This window comes from Homo sapiens, chromosome 15 (assembly GCF_000001405.40).
Source record: "Homo sapiens chromosome 15, GRCh38.p14 Primary Assembly".
Lineage (NCBI taxonomy): Eukaryota > Metazoa > Chordata > Mammalia > Primates > Hominidae > Homo > Homo sapiens.
The window spans coordinates 77,258,795-77,277,702 of NC_000015.10; the positions used below are offsets into that span (position 1 = coordinate 77,258,795).

General features: G+C 38.2%; 1 protein-coding gene across 34 annotated transcripts in view; it reads right to left on the reverse strand.

The window, feature by feature from the left end:
- PEAK1 (pseudopodium enriched atypical kinase 1) overlaps positions 1-18,908 on the reverse strand; it is a 320,261-nt gene that overhangs the window by 158,141 nt on the left and 143,212 nt on the right. The gene's annotated exons all lie outside the window — the stretch shown is intronic.

The following is an 18,908-nucleotide window of genomic DNA, read 5'->3' on the forward strand; positions in this document are numbered from 1 at the left end:
TCTTGTGCCAGTTTTCAAAGGGAATGTTTCCAGTTTTTGCCCATTCAGTATGATGTTGGCTGTGGGTTTGTCATAGATAGCTCTTATTATTTTGAGATACGTCCCATCAATACCTAATTTATTGAGAGTTTTTAGCATGAAGGGTTGTTGAATTTTGTCAAAGGCCTTTTCTCCATCTATTGAGATAATCATGTGGTTTTTGTCTTTGGTTCTGTTTATATGCTGGATTACATTTATTGATTTGCGTATATTGAACCAGTCTATGGCTGATTTTTTACCGTAAAGGTAGAGTTAAGTAGTTGTTACAGTAACTAAATGCCTACAAAGCCCAAAATATACATTATTTGGCCCTTTACAGATAACACTTACCAAATTTCTAATACAAACTACATTCAAGATGGCTATTTGCTAAAATTTTAGAATTCATATTTTAAATGACTAGATCAAATGGTTTATTTTAGTCCTTACACTCTGGTAATGCCATTCCTTCATATTTCTAATGAATGTTAATAATTTTATATTTAAAATTAGTATCTCATAATAGAGACAATTTTTATATTCTCAAGAAATCAATTTTCCTGATTCATAAAATTTATTAAGTATGATATATCCTTTTCTTCTGATCAGTTTCTGATTTAAAGTTTGTAATGGGCTCTCTGATTTGAAAAATAAATAATAGTTCCCATAGCAGACACAGTTCATTTATAACAATACTGAGAAAAAGTACATCAATGGATAAGTGTTAGGAAACAATTTCTTGGGAGCTTCTGAATTCTGCAAAGGTGTTAGCCTTAAAACCTATTCTACAATAATTCAACTTCTGCTTCTGACCATGAGGGATTAAACAGTTCCAGGATGATCCTCTCACCATAAACAATTAGAATACAGCATAAAATACTGGAAAGGACTATTTTCAGACACAGGCAATGCAGTATTATGATCCCTAAGAAAACAGAAATAAGGGGAGTCCTACCAGCAACTCAGGCTCTCAGCCAGAAAGAAATTTACCACTTCAGTAGAGGGAGGAAGAATTTACACAGAGCCTGGCAATCTTGTTTACTTGGAGAGATAGAAAAAAGTGCAAGGAGGCCAAGAAGGCTAGAATTTATGGAGCAGAATTCCAGAGAAGAGGGAGACAGCTAAAGTAATCTGAATAAGGGTTCTCCTGAGCATTTAGCTAGATAAAAACGTTACATTAAGAAGGGTAAAATTTTTTTTGAGACCAGAGAAAAACATCTAAGGAAAAAATGTTACCAGATAGTTGCAATACAAAGATTCTCAGAGCTGACATAGGACCAAGAATTCAACAAGCTCCCTTCCGCAAGAAGAGAGAAACCCAAATATACAAAGCAATCAGCAGGGTCCCCAGAAGGGACAAATCACTGAGTGAGGGGCCCTAGAATAAAGGCCACTCTAGATATGCCTGAAAGGAATGTTTAAGCCTAGAACTGAACAAACTAATCTGTACTTAACAAAAATGCTTTTCAGGAAGAAGTCCAACATTCTTTAAAGATATAAAACAAGATTAAGGACTCAAATATTTAAATTCATAAATATTTATCATTTAATAAAAAAATTACTGAACACAGTAAGAATCAGGGAAATGTGGCCCATAACCAGAAAAATATCAATCAATAGAAAGAAACCCAGAAATGATAGAAATGATAGAAATGGCAGGCAAAGACATTAAAAGGGCTGTAATAACTATGCTCTATATTCAAAGACATAAATGAAAAAAGCAATATAATGGTGACAGAAATAGAGGATTTTCAAAAAGAACCAAAAAATAACTTCTAGAGATAAAATATATAGAGACAAATGAATATTTCACTAGACAGATAAGCAGTAGTTCATACACAGAAGAAAAAAAGGTGGAGCCAAGATGGCCGAATAGGAACAGCTCTAGTCTACAGCTCCCAGCGTGAGCGACACAGAAGATGTATGATTTCTGCATTTCCAACTGAGCTTTGAAGAGAGTAGTGGTTCTCCCAGCACGCAGCTTGAGATCTGAGAACGGACAGACTGCCTCGTCAAGTGGCTCCCTGACGCCCAAGTAGCCTAACTGGGAGGCACCCCCCAGTAGAGGCAGACTGACACCTCACATGGCCGGGTACTCCTCTGAGACAAACCTTCCAGAGGAATGATCAGGCAGCAACATTTGCTGTTCACCAATATCTGCTGTTGTGCAGCCTCCGCTGCTGATACCCAGGCAAACAGCATCTGGAGAGGACCCCCAGCAAACTCCAACAGACCTGCAGCTGAGGGTCCTGACTGTTAGAAGGAAAACTAATAAACAGAAAGGACATCCACACCAAAACCCCATCTGTATGTCACCATCATCAAAGACCAAAGGTAGATAAAACCACAAAGATGGGGAAAAAACAGAGCAGAAACACTGAAAATTCTAAAAATCAGAGCGCCTCTCCTCCTCCAAAGGAATGCAGCTCCTCACCAGCAATGGAACAAAGCCGGATGGAGAATGACTTTGATGAGTTGAGAGAAGAAGGCTTCAGACGATCAAACTACTCCAAGCTAAAGGAGGAAGTTCGAACCCATGGCAAAGAAGTTAAAAACCTTGAAACAAGATTAGACGAATGGCTAACTAGAATAACCAATGCAGAGAAGTCCTTAAAGGAGCTGATGGAGCTGAAAACCACGGCACGAGAACTATGTGATGAATGCACGAGCCTCAGCAGCCGATTCGATCAACTGGAAGAAAGGGTATCAGTGATGGAAGATCAAATGAATGAAATGCGAGTTTAGAAAAAAAGAATAAAAAAAAAGAACAAAGCCTCCAACAAATATAGGACTATGTGAACAGACCAAATCTATATCTGATTGGTGTACCTGAAAGTGACGGGGAGAATGGAACCAACTTGGAAAACACTCTGCAGGATATTATCCAGGAGAACTTCCCCAATCTAGCAAGGCAGGCCAACATTCAGATTCGGGAAATACAGAGAACGTCATAAAGATACTCCTCCAGAAGAGCAACTCTAAGACACATAATTGTCAGATTCACCAAAGTTGAAATGAAGGAAAAAATGTTAAGGGCAGCCAGAGAGAAAGGTCGGGTTACCCACAAAGGGAAGCCCATCAGACTAACAGCTGATCTCTTGGCAGAAACTCTACAAGCCAGAAGAGAGTGGGGGCCAATATTCAACATTCTTAAAGAAAAGAATTTTCAACCCACAATTTCATATCCAGCCAAACTAAGCTTCATAAGTGAAGGAGAAATAAAATACTTTACAGACAAGCAAATGCTGAGAGATTTTGTCACTACCAGGCCTGCCCTAAAAGAACTCCTGAAGGAAGCACTAAACATGGAAAGGAACAACCAGTTCCAGCCACTGCAAAAACATGTCAAACTGTAAAGACCATCGATGCTAGGAAGAAATTGCATCAACTAACGAGCAAAATAACCAGCTAACATCATAATGACAGGATCAAATTCACACATAACAATATTAACTTTAAATGTAAATGGGCTAAATGCTCCAATTAGAAGACACAGACTGGCAAATTGGATAAAGAGTCAAGACCCATCAGTGTGCTGTATTCAGGAAACCCATCTCACATGCAGAGACACACGTAGGCTCAAAATAAAGGGATGGAGGAAGATCTACTAAGCAAATGGAAAACAAAAAAGGCAGGGGTTGCAATCCTAGTCTCTGATAAAACAGACTTTAAACCAATAAAGATCAAAAGAGACAAAGAGGGCCATTACATAATGGTAAAGGGATCAATTGAACAAGAAGAGCTAACTATCCTAAATATATATGCACCCAATACAGGAGCACCCAGATTCATAAAGCAAGTCCTTAGAGACCTACAAAGAGACTCCCACACAATAATAATGGGACACTTTAACACCCCACAGACAACATTAGACAGACCAACGAGACAGAAAGTTAACAAGGATACGCAGGAATTGAACTCAGCTCTGCACCAAGCAGACCTAATAGACATCTACAGAACTCTCCACCCCAAATCAACAGAATATACATTTTTTTCAGCACCACACCACACCTATTCCAAAATTGACCACATAGTTGGAAGTAAAGCAGTCCTCAGCAAATGTAAAAGAACAGAAATTATAACAAACTGTCTCTCAGGCCACAGTACAATCAAACTAGAACTCAGGATTAAGAAACTCACTCAAAACCACTCAGCTACATGGAAACTGAACAACCTGCTCCTGAATGACTACTGGGTACATAATGAAATGAAGGCAGAAATAAAGATGTTCTTTGAAACCAATGAGAACAAAGACACAACATACCAGAATCTCTGGGACACATTCAAAGCAGTGCGTAGAGGGAAATTTATAGCACTAAATGCCCACAAGAGAAACCAAGAAAGATCTAAAATTGACACCATAACATCACAATTAAAAGAACTAGAGAAGCAAGAGGAAACACATTCAAAAGCTAGTAGAAGGCAAGAAATAACTAAGATCAGAGCAGAACTGAAGGAAATAGACACATAAAAAACACTTCAAAAAAATCAATGAATCCAGGAGCTGGTTTTTTGAAAAGATCAACAAAATTGATAGACCGCTAGCTAGACTAATAAAGAAGAAAAGAGAGAAGAATCAAATAGACGTAATAAAAAATGATAAACGGGATATCACCACCGATCCCACAGAAATACAAACTACCATCAGAGAATACTATAAACACCTCTACACAAATAAACTAGAAAATCTAGAATAAATGGATAAATTCCTCGACACCTACACCCTCCCAAGACTAAACCAGGAAGAAGCTGAATCTCTGAATAGACCAATAACAGGCTCTGAAATTGAGGCAATAATTAATAGCTTACTAACCAAAAAAAGGCCAGGACCAGATGGATTCACAGCCGAATTCTACTAAAGGTACAAGGAGGAGCTGGTACCATTCCTTCTGAAACTATTCCAATCAATAGAAAAAGAGGGAATCCTCCCTAACTCATTTTATGAGGCCAGCATCATCCTGATACCAAAGCCTGGCAGAGACACAACAACAAAAAAAAGAATTTTAGACCAATATCCCTGATGAACATCGATGCAAAAATCCTCAATAAAATACTAGCAAACCGAATCCAGCAGCACATCCAAAAGCTTATCTACCATGATCAAGTGGGCTTCAACCTGGGATGCAAGGCTGGTTCAACATACGCAAATCAATAAACATAATCCAGCATATAAACAGAACCAACGACAAAAACCACGATTATCTCAATAGATGCAGAAAAGGCCTTTGACAAAATTCAACAACCCTTCATGCTAAAAACTCTCAATAAATTAGGTATTGATGGGACGTATCTCAAAATAATAAGAGCTATCTGTGACAAACCCACAGCCAACATCATACTGAATGGGCAAAAACTGGAAGCATTCCCTTTGAAAACTGGCACAAGACAGGGATGCCCTCTCTCACCACTCCTATTCAACATAGTGTTGGAAGTTCTGGCCAGGGCAATCAGGCAGGAGAAGGAAATAAAGGGTATTCAATTAGGAAAAGAGGAAGTCAAATTGTCCCTGTTTGCAGATGACATGATTGTATATCTAGAAAACCCCATTGTCTCAGCCCAAAATCTCCTAAAGCTGATAAGCAACTTCAGCAAAGTCTCAGGATACAAAATCAATGTATAAAATCACAAGCATTCTTATACACCAATAACAGACAAACAGAGAGCCAAATCATGAGTGAACTCCCATTCACAATTGCTTCAAAGAGAATACAATACCTAGGAATCCAATTTACAAGGGACGTGAAGGACCTCTTCAAGGAGAACTACAAACCACTGCTCAATGAAATAAAAGAGGATACCAACAAATGGAAGAACATTCCACGCTCATGGGTAGGAAGAATCAATATCGTGAAAATGGCCATACTGCCCAAGGTAATTTATAGATTCAATGCCATCCCCATCAAGCTACCAATGACTTTCTTCACAGAATTGGAAAAAACTACTTTAAAGTTCATATGAAACCAAAAAAGAGCCCGCATCGCCAAGTCAATCCTAAGCCAAAAGAACAAAGCTGGAGGCATCACACTACCTGACTTCAAACTATACTACAAGGCTACAGTAACCAAAACAGCATGGTACTGGTACCAAAACAGAGATATAGATCAATGGAACAGAACAGAGCCCTCAGAAATAACACTGCATATCTGCAACTATCTAATCTTTGACAAACCTGAGAAAAACAAGCAATGGGGAAAGGATTCCCTATTTAATAAATGGTGCTGGGAAAACTGTCTAGCCATATGTAGAAAGCTGAAACTGGATCCCTTCCTTACACCTTACACAAAAATCAATTCAAGATGGATTAAAGACTTAAACGTTAGACCTAAAACCATAAAAACCCTAGAAGAAAACCCAGGCATTACCATTCAGGACATAGGCATGGGCAAGGACTTCATGTCTAAAACACCAAAAGCAATGGCAACAAAAGCCAAAATTGACAAATGGGATCTAATTAAACTAAAGAGCTTCTGCACAGCAAAAGAAACTACCAACAAAGTGAATAGACAACCCACAAAATGGGAGAAAATTTTCGCAACCTACTCATCTGACAAAGGGCTAATATCCAGAATCTAAAGTGAACTCAAACAAATTTACAAGAAAAAAACAAACAACCCCATCAAAAAGTGGGCGAAGGACATGAACAGACACTTCTCAAAAGAAGACATTTATGCAGACAAAAGACACATGAAAAAATGCTCACCATCACTGGCCATCAGAGAAATGCAAATCCAAACTGCAATGAGATACCATCTCACACCAGTTAGAATGGCGATCATTAAAAAGTCAGGAAACAACAGGTGCTGGAGAGGATGTGGAGAAATAGGAACACTTTTACACTGTTGGTGGGACTGTAAACTAGTTCAACCATTGTGGAAGTCAGTGTGGCGATTCCTCAGGGCTCTAGAACTAGAAATACCATTTGACCCAGCCATCCCATTACTGGGTATATACCCAAAGGACTATAAATCATGCTGCTATAAAGACACATGCACACGTATGTTTATTGTGGCACTATTCACAATAGCAAAGACTTGGAACCAACCCAAATGTCCAACAATGATAGACTGGATTAAGAAAATGTGGCACGTATACACCATGGAATACTATGCAGCCATAAAAAATGAGGAGTTCATGTCCTTTGTAGGGACATGGATGAAATTGGAAATCATCATTCTCAGTAAACTATCACAAGAAAAACCAAACACCGCATATTCTCACTCATAGGTGGGAACTGAACAATGAGAACACATGGACACAGGAAGGGGAACATCACACTCTGGGGACTGTTGTGGGGTGGGGAGAGGGGGGAGGGATAGCATTTGGAGATATACCTAACGCTAGATGACAAGTTAGTGGGTGCAGCGCACCAGCATGTCACATGTATACATATGTAACTAACCTGCACATTGTGCACATGTACCCTAAAAGTTAAAGTATAATAATAAAAAAAAATAAAAATAAAATACAATAAAATTTAAAAACTAATCAAAGAACCAAATAATTTTACTCCTAGGTATTTACTCCACAGAGTGGGTATCATCAGAGGCCTAGTACGAAGCTGAAACTCCCAACTCGGCCCAGAACAGGCGCCTCCTGCCAAGTGTCACTGGAGGATGATTAGGACCCTGAACTTACTCCTCTACCTGACAGTAATGAGGCAACATCCTTTCCCCCTGCCAGGATACTATTTAAAGAGACCTGCCAAAACAGAAGACTTAAATGAAATGCAAAATCTCATGACATAATGTCCAAAATGTCTAGGTTTTGATTGAAAACCATTTGCCATATCAAGAATCAGGAAAATCATAACTTGAATGAGAAAAGACAATCAATGGATACCAACACCAAGATAACAGACATAAGAATTATTTTACAAGGGAGGAAAAATGGTAGATAGAAGGCAGGACTAACTTCAGCTCCCAGTTGGATGGTTACAGCAGCATGTAGAGACCCACATCACGAACTTCTGCTCCAACAACTACCACAAGAACATACCAGGAAAGCCGAGATAATCCACAGACCCTTTGAAGGAGCTGGATTGCTGCTGTAGGCTCTGTGGGACAGCCAAGGAACTCTGAGTCAGCTTGTTTTCTCAGTGGGGAGGCTTGTAGCCTGGGGCAAGTTCTCAGCCCTCCTCACTGGTTGCCTGGAAATCAGCTCTGTGTTGTTGGTGGGGGTGGGGGCAGGGGCACAGTGGGAGTGGGACCAGCCTTTTGGGCAGTGGGATGCATGGGAGCTGTGTGAGGACTCTGGCTGCCGGCATTCTCCACTTCCCTGGCAACCTGTGTGATGCAGCAGAGGCAGCCATAATCTTCCTGGGAACATAACTGGGAACATAATCTTCCTGGGAACGTAATTGCATTGGCCTGGGAAACACACCCCCATCCCCTACAGCAGCCACATCCCTGCCCAAGGAGAGTCTGAGCTCAGACACACCTAACCCTGTCCACATCTGATGGTCCTGCTGGTAGCTGAAGACGAAGGATATAGCCTCTTGAGAGGTCTATGGTCCCAACCTTCTCCTCATCCTCCCTATACTACCACAGCTATTATGCTCTTGAAAGCACCACCTCCTATCTGAAGGCCAATCAACACAAAACCAGCTTGTGTAACAAAAATACAACCAGGAACCCTCATAGTATCCACTTCATGCCCCTGCTACCTCCACCAGAGCAGGTGTTGGTATCCATGGCTGAGAGACCTGAAGACAGATCACATCATAAGACTCTTTGCAGATACTCCCCTGTACTAGCCCAGAGCCTAACAGCTCTGCTGGGTGGCTAGATCCAGAACAGAAATAACAATCACTGCAGTTTGGCTCTCAGAAATTCCCATCCCTATGGGAAAGGGAAGAGCACCACATGAAGGGAGCAACCCGTGGGACAAAAGAATCTGAACAGCAGCCTTTGAGTCTCAGATCTTCCCTTTGATATAGTATACCCGAATAAGAAGGAACCAGAAAAACAATTCTGATAATAGACAAAACAAGGTTCTTTAACACCCCCAAAAAATCACACTAACTCACCAGCAATGGATCCGAACCAGGAAAAAAAATCTCTGAATTGCCAGAAAAAGAATTCACAAAGTCGACTATTAAGCCAATAGAGGAGGCATCAGAGAAAGGTGAAGTCCAAGAAATAAAAAAAAATGATATAGGATATGAATGGAAAAATCTCCAGTGTAATAGATAGCATAAATAAAAACTAATCACAACTTCTGGAAATGAAGGGCACACTTAGAGAATTGCAAAATGCAATGGAATGCCTCAGAAATAGAACTGAACAAGTAGAAGAAAGAATATCAAGTTTGCAGACAAGGCTTTCGAATTAACCCAATCTGATAAAGACAAAGAAGAAAAAAGAATTTTTAAAAAATGAACAAGCCAGACACAGTGGCTCACGCCTATAAGCCCAGCACTTTGGGAGGCCGAGGTGGGCAGATCACTTGATGTCAGGAGTTTGAGACCAGCCTGGCCAAGATGGTGAAACCCCATCTCTCCTAAAATACACAAATTAGCTGGGTGTGGTGGTGTGTGCCTGTAATCCCAGCTACGCAGAAGGCTGAGGTAGGAGAATCACTTGAACCTGGGAGGCAGAGGACGCAGTGAGCTGAGATCACACCACTGCATTTCAGTCTGGATGACAGAGCGAGATTCCATCTCAAAAAAAAAAAAAGAACAAAGCTTCCAAGAAGTTTGAGATTATGTTAAATGACCAAATTTAAGAATAATTGGTGTTTCTGGGGAAGAAGAGAAATCTAAAAGTTTGGAAAACATATTTGAGAGAATAATTGAGGAAAACTTTCTTGGCCTTGCTAGGGATCTAGACATCCAAATACAAAAAGCTCAAAGAACTCCTGGGAAATTCATCGCAAAAACATCACCACCTAGGCACATAGTCATCAGGTTATCTAAAATCAAGATGAAGGAAAGAATCTTAACAGCTGTGAGGCAAAAGTATCAGGTAACCTATAAAGAAAAACCTATCAGATTAACACAGATTTCGCAGCAGAAACCCTACAAGCTAGAAGGGACTGCAATCCTATCTTTAGCCTCCTTAAACAAAATAATTATCAGCCAAGAATTTTGTATGCAACAAAACTAGGCTTCATAAATGAAGAAAAGATATGGTATTTTTCAGACAAACAAATGCTGAAAGAATTCGCCACTACCAAGCCAGCACTACGAGCACCGCTAAAAGGAGCTCTAAATCTTGAAACAAATCCTCCAAATACACCCAAATCGAATATCCTTAAAGCATAAATCTCACAGGACCTATAAAACAACAACACAATGAAAAAAAAAAAAGGTATTCAGGCAATATATAGAACGATGAATAGAATAGTACCTCATATCTCAATACTAATGTTGAAAGTAATGGGCCGAAATGCTCCACTTAAAAGACAGAGAATGGCAGAATGGATAAGAATTCAGTAACTAAGTATCTGCTGTCTTCAAGAGACTCACCTGACACATAGGACTCACATAAAGCTAAGGTAACAGGGTGGAAAAAGATACTCCATGCAAATGGGCACCAGAAGCAAGCAGGAGTAGCTATTCTTATATCAGACAAAACAAACTTTAAATCAACAGCTGTTAAAAACGACAAAGAGAGATACTACATAATGATAAAAGGTCTAATACAACAGGAAAGTATCACAATCCTACATACATATGCACCTAACACTGGAGCTCCCAATTTATAAAACAATTACTACTAGACCTAAGAAATTAGATAGGCAACAACAAAATAATAGTGGGGGACTTCAATACTTCACTGACAGCACTAGACAGGTAATCAAGACAAAAAGTCAACAAAGAAACAATGGGCTTAATAGACATTTACATAACATTCTACCCAACAACTGCAGAATATACATTCTATTCAACACATGGAACATTCTCCAAGACAGACCATATGACAGGCCACAAACTCTCAACAAATTTAAGAAAATCGAAATTATACAAAGCACTCTATTAGACCACAGTGGAATAAAATTGGAAATCAACTCCATCTACACACTGCTTTAAATGTGTCCCAGAGATTCTGGTATGTTGTACCTTTGTTCTCACTGGTTTCAAAGAACATCTTTATTTCTGCCTTCATTTTGTTATGTACCCAGTAGTCATTCAGGAGCAGGCTGTTCAGTTTCCATGTAGTTGAGCGGTTTTGAGTGAGTTTCTTAATCCTGAGTTCTAGTTTGATTGCACTGTGGTCTGAGAGATAGTTTGTTATAATTTCTGTTCTTTTGAGGAGTGCTTTACTTCCAACTATGTGGTCAATTTTGGAATAAATTAGGTATTGATGGGACATATCTCAAAATAATAAGAGCTATTTATGACAAACCCACAGCCAATATCATACTGAATGGGCACAAACTGGAAGCATTCCCTTTGAAAACTGGCACAAGACAGGGATGCCCTCTCTCACCACTCCTATTCAACACAGTGTTGGAAGTTCTGGCCAGGGCAATCAGGCAGGAGAAGGAAATAAAGGGTATTCAATTAGGAAAAGAGGAAGTCAAATTGTCCCTGTTTGCAGATGACATGATTGTATATCTAGAAAACCCCATCGTCTCAGCCCAAAATCTCCTTAAGCTGATAGCAACTTCAGCAAAGTCTCAGGACACAAAATCAATGTGCAAAAATCATAAGCATTCTTATACACCAATAACAGACAAACAGAGAGCCAAATCATGAGTGAACTCCCATTCACAATTGCTTCAAAGAGAATAAAATACCTAGGAATCCAACTTACAAGGGATGTAAAGGACCTTTTCAAGGAGAACTACAAACCACTGCTCAACGGCTAAGCTCATAGGCTTAGGATTGACTTGGCAATGAGGGCTCTTTTTTGGTTCCATATGAACTTTAAAGTAGTTTTTTCCAATTCTGTGAAGAAAGTCATTGGTAGCTTGATGGGGATGGCACTGAATCTATAAATTACCTTGGGCAGTATGGCCATTTTCACAATATTGATTCTTCCTATTCACAAGCATGGAATGTTCTTCCATTTGTTTGTGTCCTCTTTTATTTCGTTGAGCAGGATGTAGGCATGGGCAAGGACTTCATGTCTAAAATACCAAAAGCAATGGCAACAAAAGCCAAAATTCACAAATGGGATCTAATTAAACTAAAGAGCTTCCGCACGGCAAAAGAAACTACCATCAGAGTGAACAGGCAACCTACAGAATGGGAGAAAATTTTTGCATTCTACTCATCTGACAAAGATTCTGTATCCAGAATCTACAATGAACTCAAACAAATTTACAAGAAAAAAACAAACAACCCCATCAAAAAGTGGGCGAAGGACATGAACAGACACTTCTCAAAAGAAGATATTTATGCAGCCAAAAGACACATGAAAAAATGCCCATCATCACTGGCCATCAGAGAAACGCAAAACTAAACCGCAATGAGATACCATCTCACAGCAGTTAGAATGGCGATCATTAAAAAGTCAGGAAACAACAGGTGCTGGAGAGGATGTGGAGAAATAGGAACACTTTTACACTGTTGGTGGGACTGTAAACTAGTTCAACCATTGTGGAAGTCAGTGTGGCGATTCCTCAGGGATCTAGAATTAGAAATACCGTTTGACCCAGCCATCCATTACTGGGTATATACCCAAAGGATTATAAATCATGCTGCTATAAAGACACATGCATATGTATGCTTATTGTGGCACTATTCACAATAGCAAAGACTTGGTACCAACCCAAATGTCCATCAATGATAGACTGGATTAAGAAAATGTGGCACATATACACCATGGAATACTATGCAGCCATAAAAAAAGGGTGAGTTCATGTCCTTTGTAGGGACATGGATGAAGCTGGAAACCATCATTCTCAGCAAACTATCACAAGGACAAAAAACCAAACACCGCATGTTCTCACTCATAGGTGGCAACTGAACAGTGAGAACACTTGGACACAGGAAGGAGAACATCACACACTGCGGCCTGTTGTGGGGTGGGAGGAGCGGGGAGGGATAGCATTAGGAGACATACCTAATGTAAATGACGAGTTAATGGGTGCAGCACACCAACACGGCACATGTATACATATGTAACAAACCTGCACGTTGTGCACATGTACCCTAGAACTTAAAGTATAATAATAAAAAAAAAGGAAATCAACTCCAAAAGGAACCTTCAAAACCATGCAAATATATGGAAATTAAACAACATGTTCCTGAATGATCACTGAGTCAAAAATGAAATCAAGATGGAAATTAACAGATTATTTGAACTGAACGATAATAGTGACACAACCTATAAAAACCTCTGGGATAAGCAAAGGCAGTGCTAACAGGAAATTCATAGCATTAAATGCCTACATTGTTAAGTCTGAAGGAGCACAGACAATCTAAGGTCACACCTCAAGGAGCTAGAGAAAGAAGAACAAACCAAACCCAAGCCCAACAGAAGAAAACAAGCAACCAAGATCAGAGCAGTACTAAATGAAATTCAAACAAACAAAAAAATACAAAAGATAAATACAACAAAAAGCTGGTTCTTTGAAAAGATAAATAAAATTGATAGACCATTAGTGAGATTAACCAAGAAAGAAGAGAGAAGATCCAAATAAGCTCAATTAGAAACAAAATGGGAGATATAACAGCCAATACCAAAGAAATACAAAATATCATTCAAGGCTACTATGAACACCTCTATGCGCATGAACTAGAAAACTAGAGGAGATGGATAAATTCCTGGGAATATACAACCCTCCTAGATTAAACCAGGAAGAAACAGAAACTCTGAACAGACCAATAACAAGCAACAAGCATGAAATGGTAATTTAAAAGTTACCAACAAAAAAAGTCCAGGACTAGATGGATTCACAGCTGAATTCTATCAGACATTTAAAGAAGAACTGGTTACCAGTCCTATTGACACTACTCCAGAAGATACAGAAAGAAGGAATCCTCCCGAAATCATTCTATGAAGCCGGTATCACCCTAATACCAAAACCAGAAAAGGACATAACCAAAAAAAGAAAACTACAAACCAATATCCCTGATGAACATAGATGCAAAAATCCTTAACAAAATACTAGCTAAACGAATCCAACAGAGATAAAAAAGATAATCCACCATGATCAAGTGGGTTTCATAACAGGGATGCAGGGATGGTTTAACATCTGCAAGTCAATAAATGTGATACACCACAGAAAAAGAATTAAAAACAAAAATCACATGATCATCTCAATAGATTGCACAAAAAGCGTTTGACAAAATCCAGCATCCCTTTATGTATGATTAAAACCCTCAGCAAAATTCGTAAAGAAGGAACATACCTTAAGGTAATAAAAGCCATCTATGACAAGCCCACAGCTAACACTATACTGAATGGGGAAAAGTTGAAAGTATTCCCCCTGAAAACTGGAACAGGACAAGGATGTCCACTTTCACCACTTCTATTCAACATAGTACTGGAAGTCCTAGCCAGAAAAATTAGACAAGAGAAAGAAATAAAGGGCAGCCAAACTGGCAAAGAGGAAGTCAAACTGTCACTGTTTGCTGATGACATAATCATATACCTAGAAAACCCTAAAGACTCATCCAAAAAGCTCCTGAACTAGTAAATGAATTCAGCAAAGTTTCAGGATACAAAATTAATGTATACAAATCAGTAGCCCTGCTACACATCAACAACAACCAAGCTGAGAATCAAATCAAGAACTCAACCCCTTTTATAACAGCTGTTAAAAACAAAAACAAAAACAAAGAACTTAGGAATATACTTAACCAAGAGGTGAAAGTGAAAGACCTCTGCAAGGAAAACTACAAAACACTGCTGAAAGAAATTATAGATGACAAAACAAATAGAAACACATCCCATTTTCATGGATGGGTAGAATCAATATTGTGATAATGACCATACTGCCAAAAGCAATCAACAAATTCAATGCAATTCCCATGAAAATACCACCACCATTCTTCACAGAACTAGAAAAAAAATCCTAAAATTCACATGGAACCAAAAAAGAGCCCACGTAGCCAAAGCAAGACTAAGCAAAAAGAACAAATTTGGAGGCATCACATTACCCAACTTCAAACGATACTATAAGGCCATAGTCACCAAAACAGCATTGTACTGGAATAGAAACAGGCATAGAGACCAATGGAACAGAATAGAGAACCCAGAAATAAAGAGAAATACTTACAGTCAACTGATCTTTGACAAAGCAACAAAAACATAAAGTAGGAAAAGGAAACTATTCAACAAATGGTGCTGGGATAATTGGCAAGCCACATGTAGAAGAATGAAACTGGATCCTCATCTCTCACCTTATACAAAAATCCACTCGAAATGGACCAAAGATTTACATCTGAGACATGAAACCATAAAAATTCTAGAAGATAACATTGGGAAAAGCCTTCTAGACACTGGCTTACGCAAAGACTTCATGACCAGAACCCGAAAGCAAACGCAACAAAAACAAAGATAAATAGATGGAACTTAATTAAACGAAAAAGCTTCTGCACAGCAAAAGAAACAATCAGCAGAGAAACCAGACAACCCACAGAGTGGGAGAAAATCTTTGCAATCTATCCGACAAAGGACTAATATCCAGAATCTACAAGGAACCAAATTAGCAAGAAAAAAAAAATCCCATCAAGTGGGCTAAAGACATGAATAGACAATTTTCAAAAGAAGATATACAAATGGCCAAAAAACATATGAAACAGTGCTCAACATCACTAATGATCAGGGAAATGCAAATCAAAACCACAATGAGATACTACCTTACTCCTGCAACAATAACCATAAAATAAAATAAATCATAATCAAAAATTAAAAAACCAAAAATAAAAAAACTCATAATCAAAAAATAAAAAAACATAGATGTTGGTGTGGATGTCATGAAAAAAGGAACACTTTTACACTGCTGGTGGGAATATAAACTAGTACACCACTATGGAAAACAGTATGGAGATTCCTTAAAGAACTAAAAGCAGATTTACCATTTGATCCAACAATCCCACTCCTGGATATCTATTCAGAGGAAAAAAAAGGTCATTATACAAAAAAGATACTTGCACATGCATGTTTATAGCAGCACAATTCAAAATTGCAAAAATATGGAACCAGCCCAAATATCCATCAATCAATAAGTGGATAGAGAAAATGTGGCGTATATATACCATGGAATACTACTCAGCAATAAAAAGGAATAAAATAATGGCATTTGCAGCAACCTAGATGGAACTGGAGACCATTATTCCAAGTGAAGTAACTCAGGAATGGAAAACCAAACATAGTATGTTCTCACTCATAAGTGGAAGCTAAGCTATGAGGATGCAAAGACATAAGAATGATACAACGAACTTTGAGGACTTGGAGGAATGATAAGAGGGAGGTGAGGGATAAAAGACTACACATTGGGTACAGCGTGTACTTCTAGGGTGATAGGTGCACCAAAATCTCATAAATCACCACTAAAGAACTTATTCATGTAACCAAACACCACCTGTTCCCCCAAAACCTATTGAAATAAGACAAAATTCCAAAAATAAAATAAATATGTACATCTTGGTAACGTACAGTCAATCCTTAAACAACATGGGTTAAATCAAGTGGGTCCACTTATACACAGATTTTAAGAAACAAATGAGGCTGGGCATGGTGGCTCATGCCTATAATCCCAGCACTTTGGGAGGCCGAGGCGGGTGGATCATGAGGTCAGGAGATTGAGACCATCCTGGCTAACACGGTGAAATCCCATCTCTACTAAAAATACAAAAATTAGATGGGTGTGATGGTGCGTGCCTGTAATCCCAGCTACTCAGGAGGCTGAGGCAGGAGAATTGCTTGAACCCGGGAGACGGAGGTTGCAGTCAGCTGAGATTGCAGTGCAGCCTGGGCGACACAGTGAGACTCTGTCTCAAAAAAATAAATAAATAAATAAAATAAAAAAATTTAAAAAAAGGAAAAAAGAAGTAAATGTATTTTTTTAAAGAAAGAAAAAGAATTATCTCACAAGGATTTTAAGGCAGCCACCATTAAAATGCTTCAACAGGCAATTACCAACACGTTGGAAACAAATGAAAAAAACAGAAAGCCTGAGTAAAGAAAGTCTCAGCAAAGAAATACAGAATGTAAATAATGAAATTACAAAACCAAAATTACGATAACTGAAATCAATGTCAGTGGATGGGTTCAATAGCAGAATGGATGTGACAGAAGAAGGAATCAATGTACTAAAAATAAAACAATAGAAATTTGCCAGTCTGAACAATAGGAAGAAAACAAACTAAAAAAACAAACAGAACTTTGGTGACTCGTGAAACTATAATAAAAGATGAATATTCATGTCATCAGAGTCTCAAAAGGAAAGGAGAAAAAGGACAGAAAAATAATTTGAAAAAATATGAACTGAAAAGTTCTCAAAAGACAAAACCTACAGATTCAAGAAGACAAGTAAACCCCAAACAGTGTAAACCCCAAATCAATCCAGGCCAAAACACATCAAAGTCAAACTTCTGAAAACTGAAGACACAGAAAAAATCTTGAAAGCAGCAACAGAAAAACAACATTTTCCCTAGAGGGGAAAAACAGTTTAATGACAGTAAATTTCTCATTAAAAACCACGGAAGCCAGAAGGAACTGGCACGATATCTTTCAGGTGCTAGGAGAAAAGGCTTGTTAACTCAGAGTTCTTTAACCAGCAAAAATATCCTGCAGAAATGAAGAAAAAAATAAAAATATTTATAGAGAAAGGAGAATTTCTCACTAGCAGATCTGCTCTAAAAGAATAAAGAAAATTCTCTAAACAGAAAGGAAATGAAAAAAGATCTCGGATAATCCAGGAATCGTGGATAATGAGGAAGGCAGGATGACAGGAGGAGGAAAAATATGTATAAACACAACAGATTCCTATTCCACTTGAGTTCTCCAAATTATGTTTGACTGTTGAAGCAAAAATTATAATGCTGTATGATATGGTTCAAAATGTATGTAAAGAAAATAAAACCATTAATACACATAAAAATATATATAAACATGCATGTAATATACACATATACATATATTAGAAACATATAAAAATGTTAAGATAATTAAATGGGGGGGACTAAAGGGAGCAAAAGTTTCTATACTTTACTGGAAGTGATAAAATGTAGCATCACCAAGTAGCACTGTAGTACAGCCGACTATGACTTGTTACATACAAAATGTAGTATCTAGAGTGAGGACAAAAAGGCCATATAAAGAGATATACTTTAAAACACTGAATTCTAAAAGGTATTCAAGTAACCTGCAGGAAAGCCAGAAAAACAAACAAACTGTGACACATCCATACCATGGAAAACTAACTATATCAGCAATAAATAGGAATGATTCTTGACATCTCAACTTAGATGGATCTCAAGGGCATTATGCTGAGTAAAAAAAGCCAATCTCAAAGATTTTATACTACATGATTCCATTTATATAACATTCTCAAAATGACAAAATTATAGAGATGGTTACCAAGGGTGAGGGATGGTGAAAGGGAGTGGGTGTGTGTGTGACTATAAAGAGGCAGCACAGGGATATCATTGGGTTAAGGAATTCTGTATCTTGGTTGCAGTGTTGGTTACATGAATCTACACATGTGATAAAATACCAAAGAACGATATACTACTCACTTTACACCAATGTCAATGTACTGGTTTTAATATTGTTCTATAGTTACATAAGATGGAACTAATAGGGGAAACTCGGTGAATGGTACAGTAAATATGGTACTTCTCTGTACTATGTTTTCAAATTCATGTGAATTTATAATTATTTCAAAATAAAAAGTTTAAAAAGTGAATTAATTCTGTGAATTATTTAAGAGCTCACTAATAGGATCACCATACCTGTAAGTAAATATTTTTGTTCTAATAGAAAAAAATT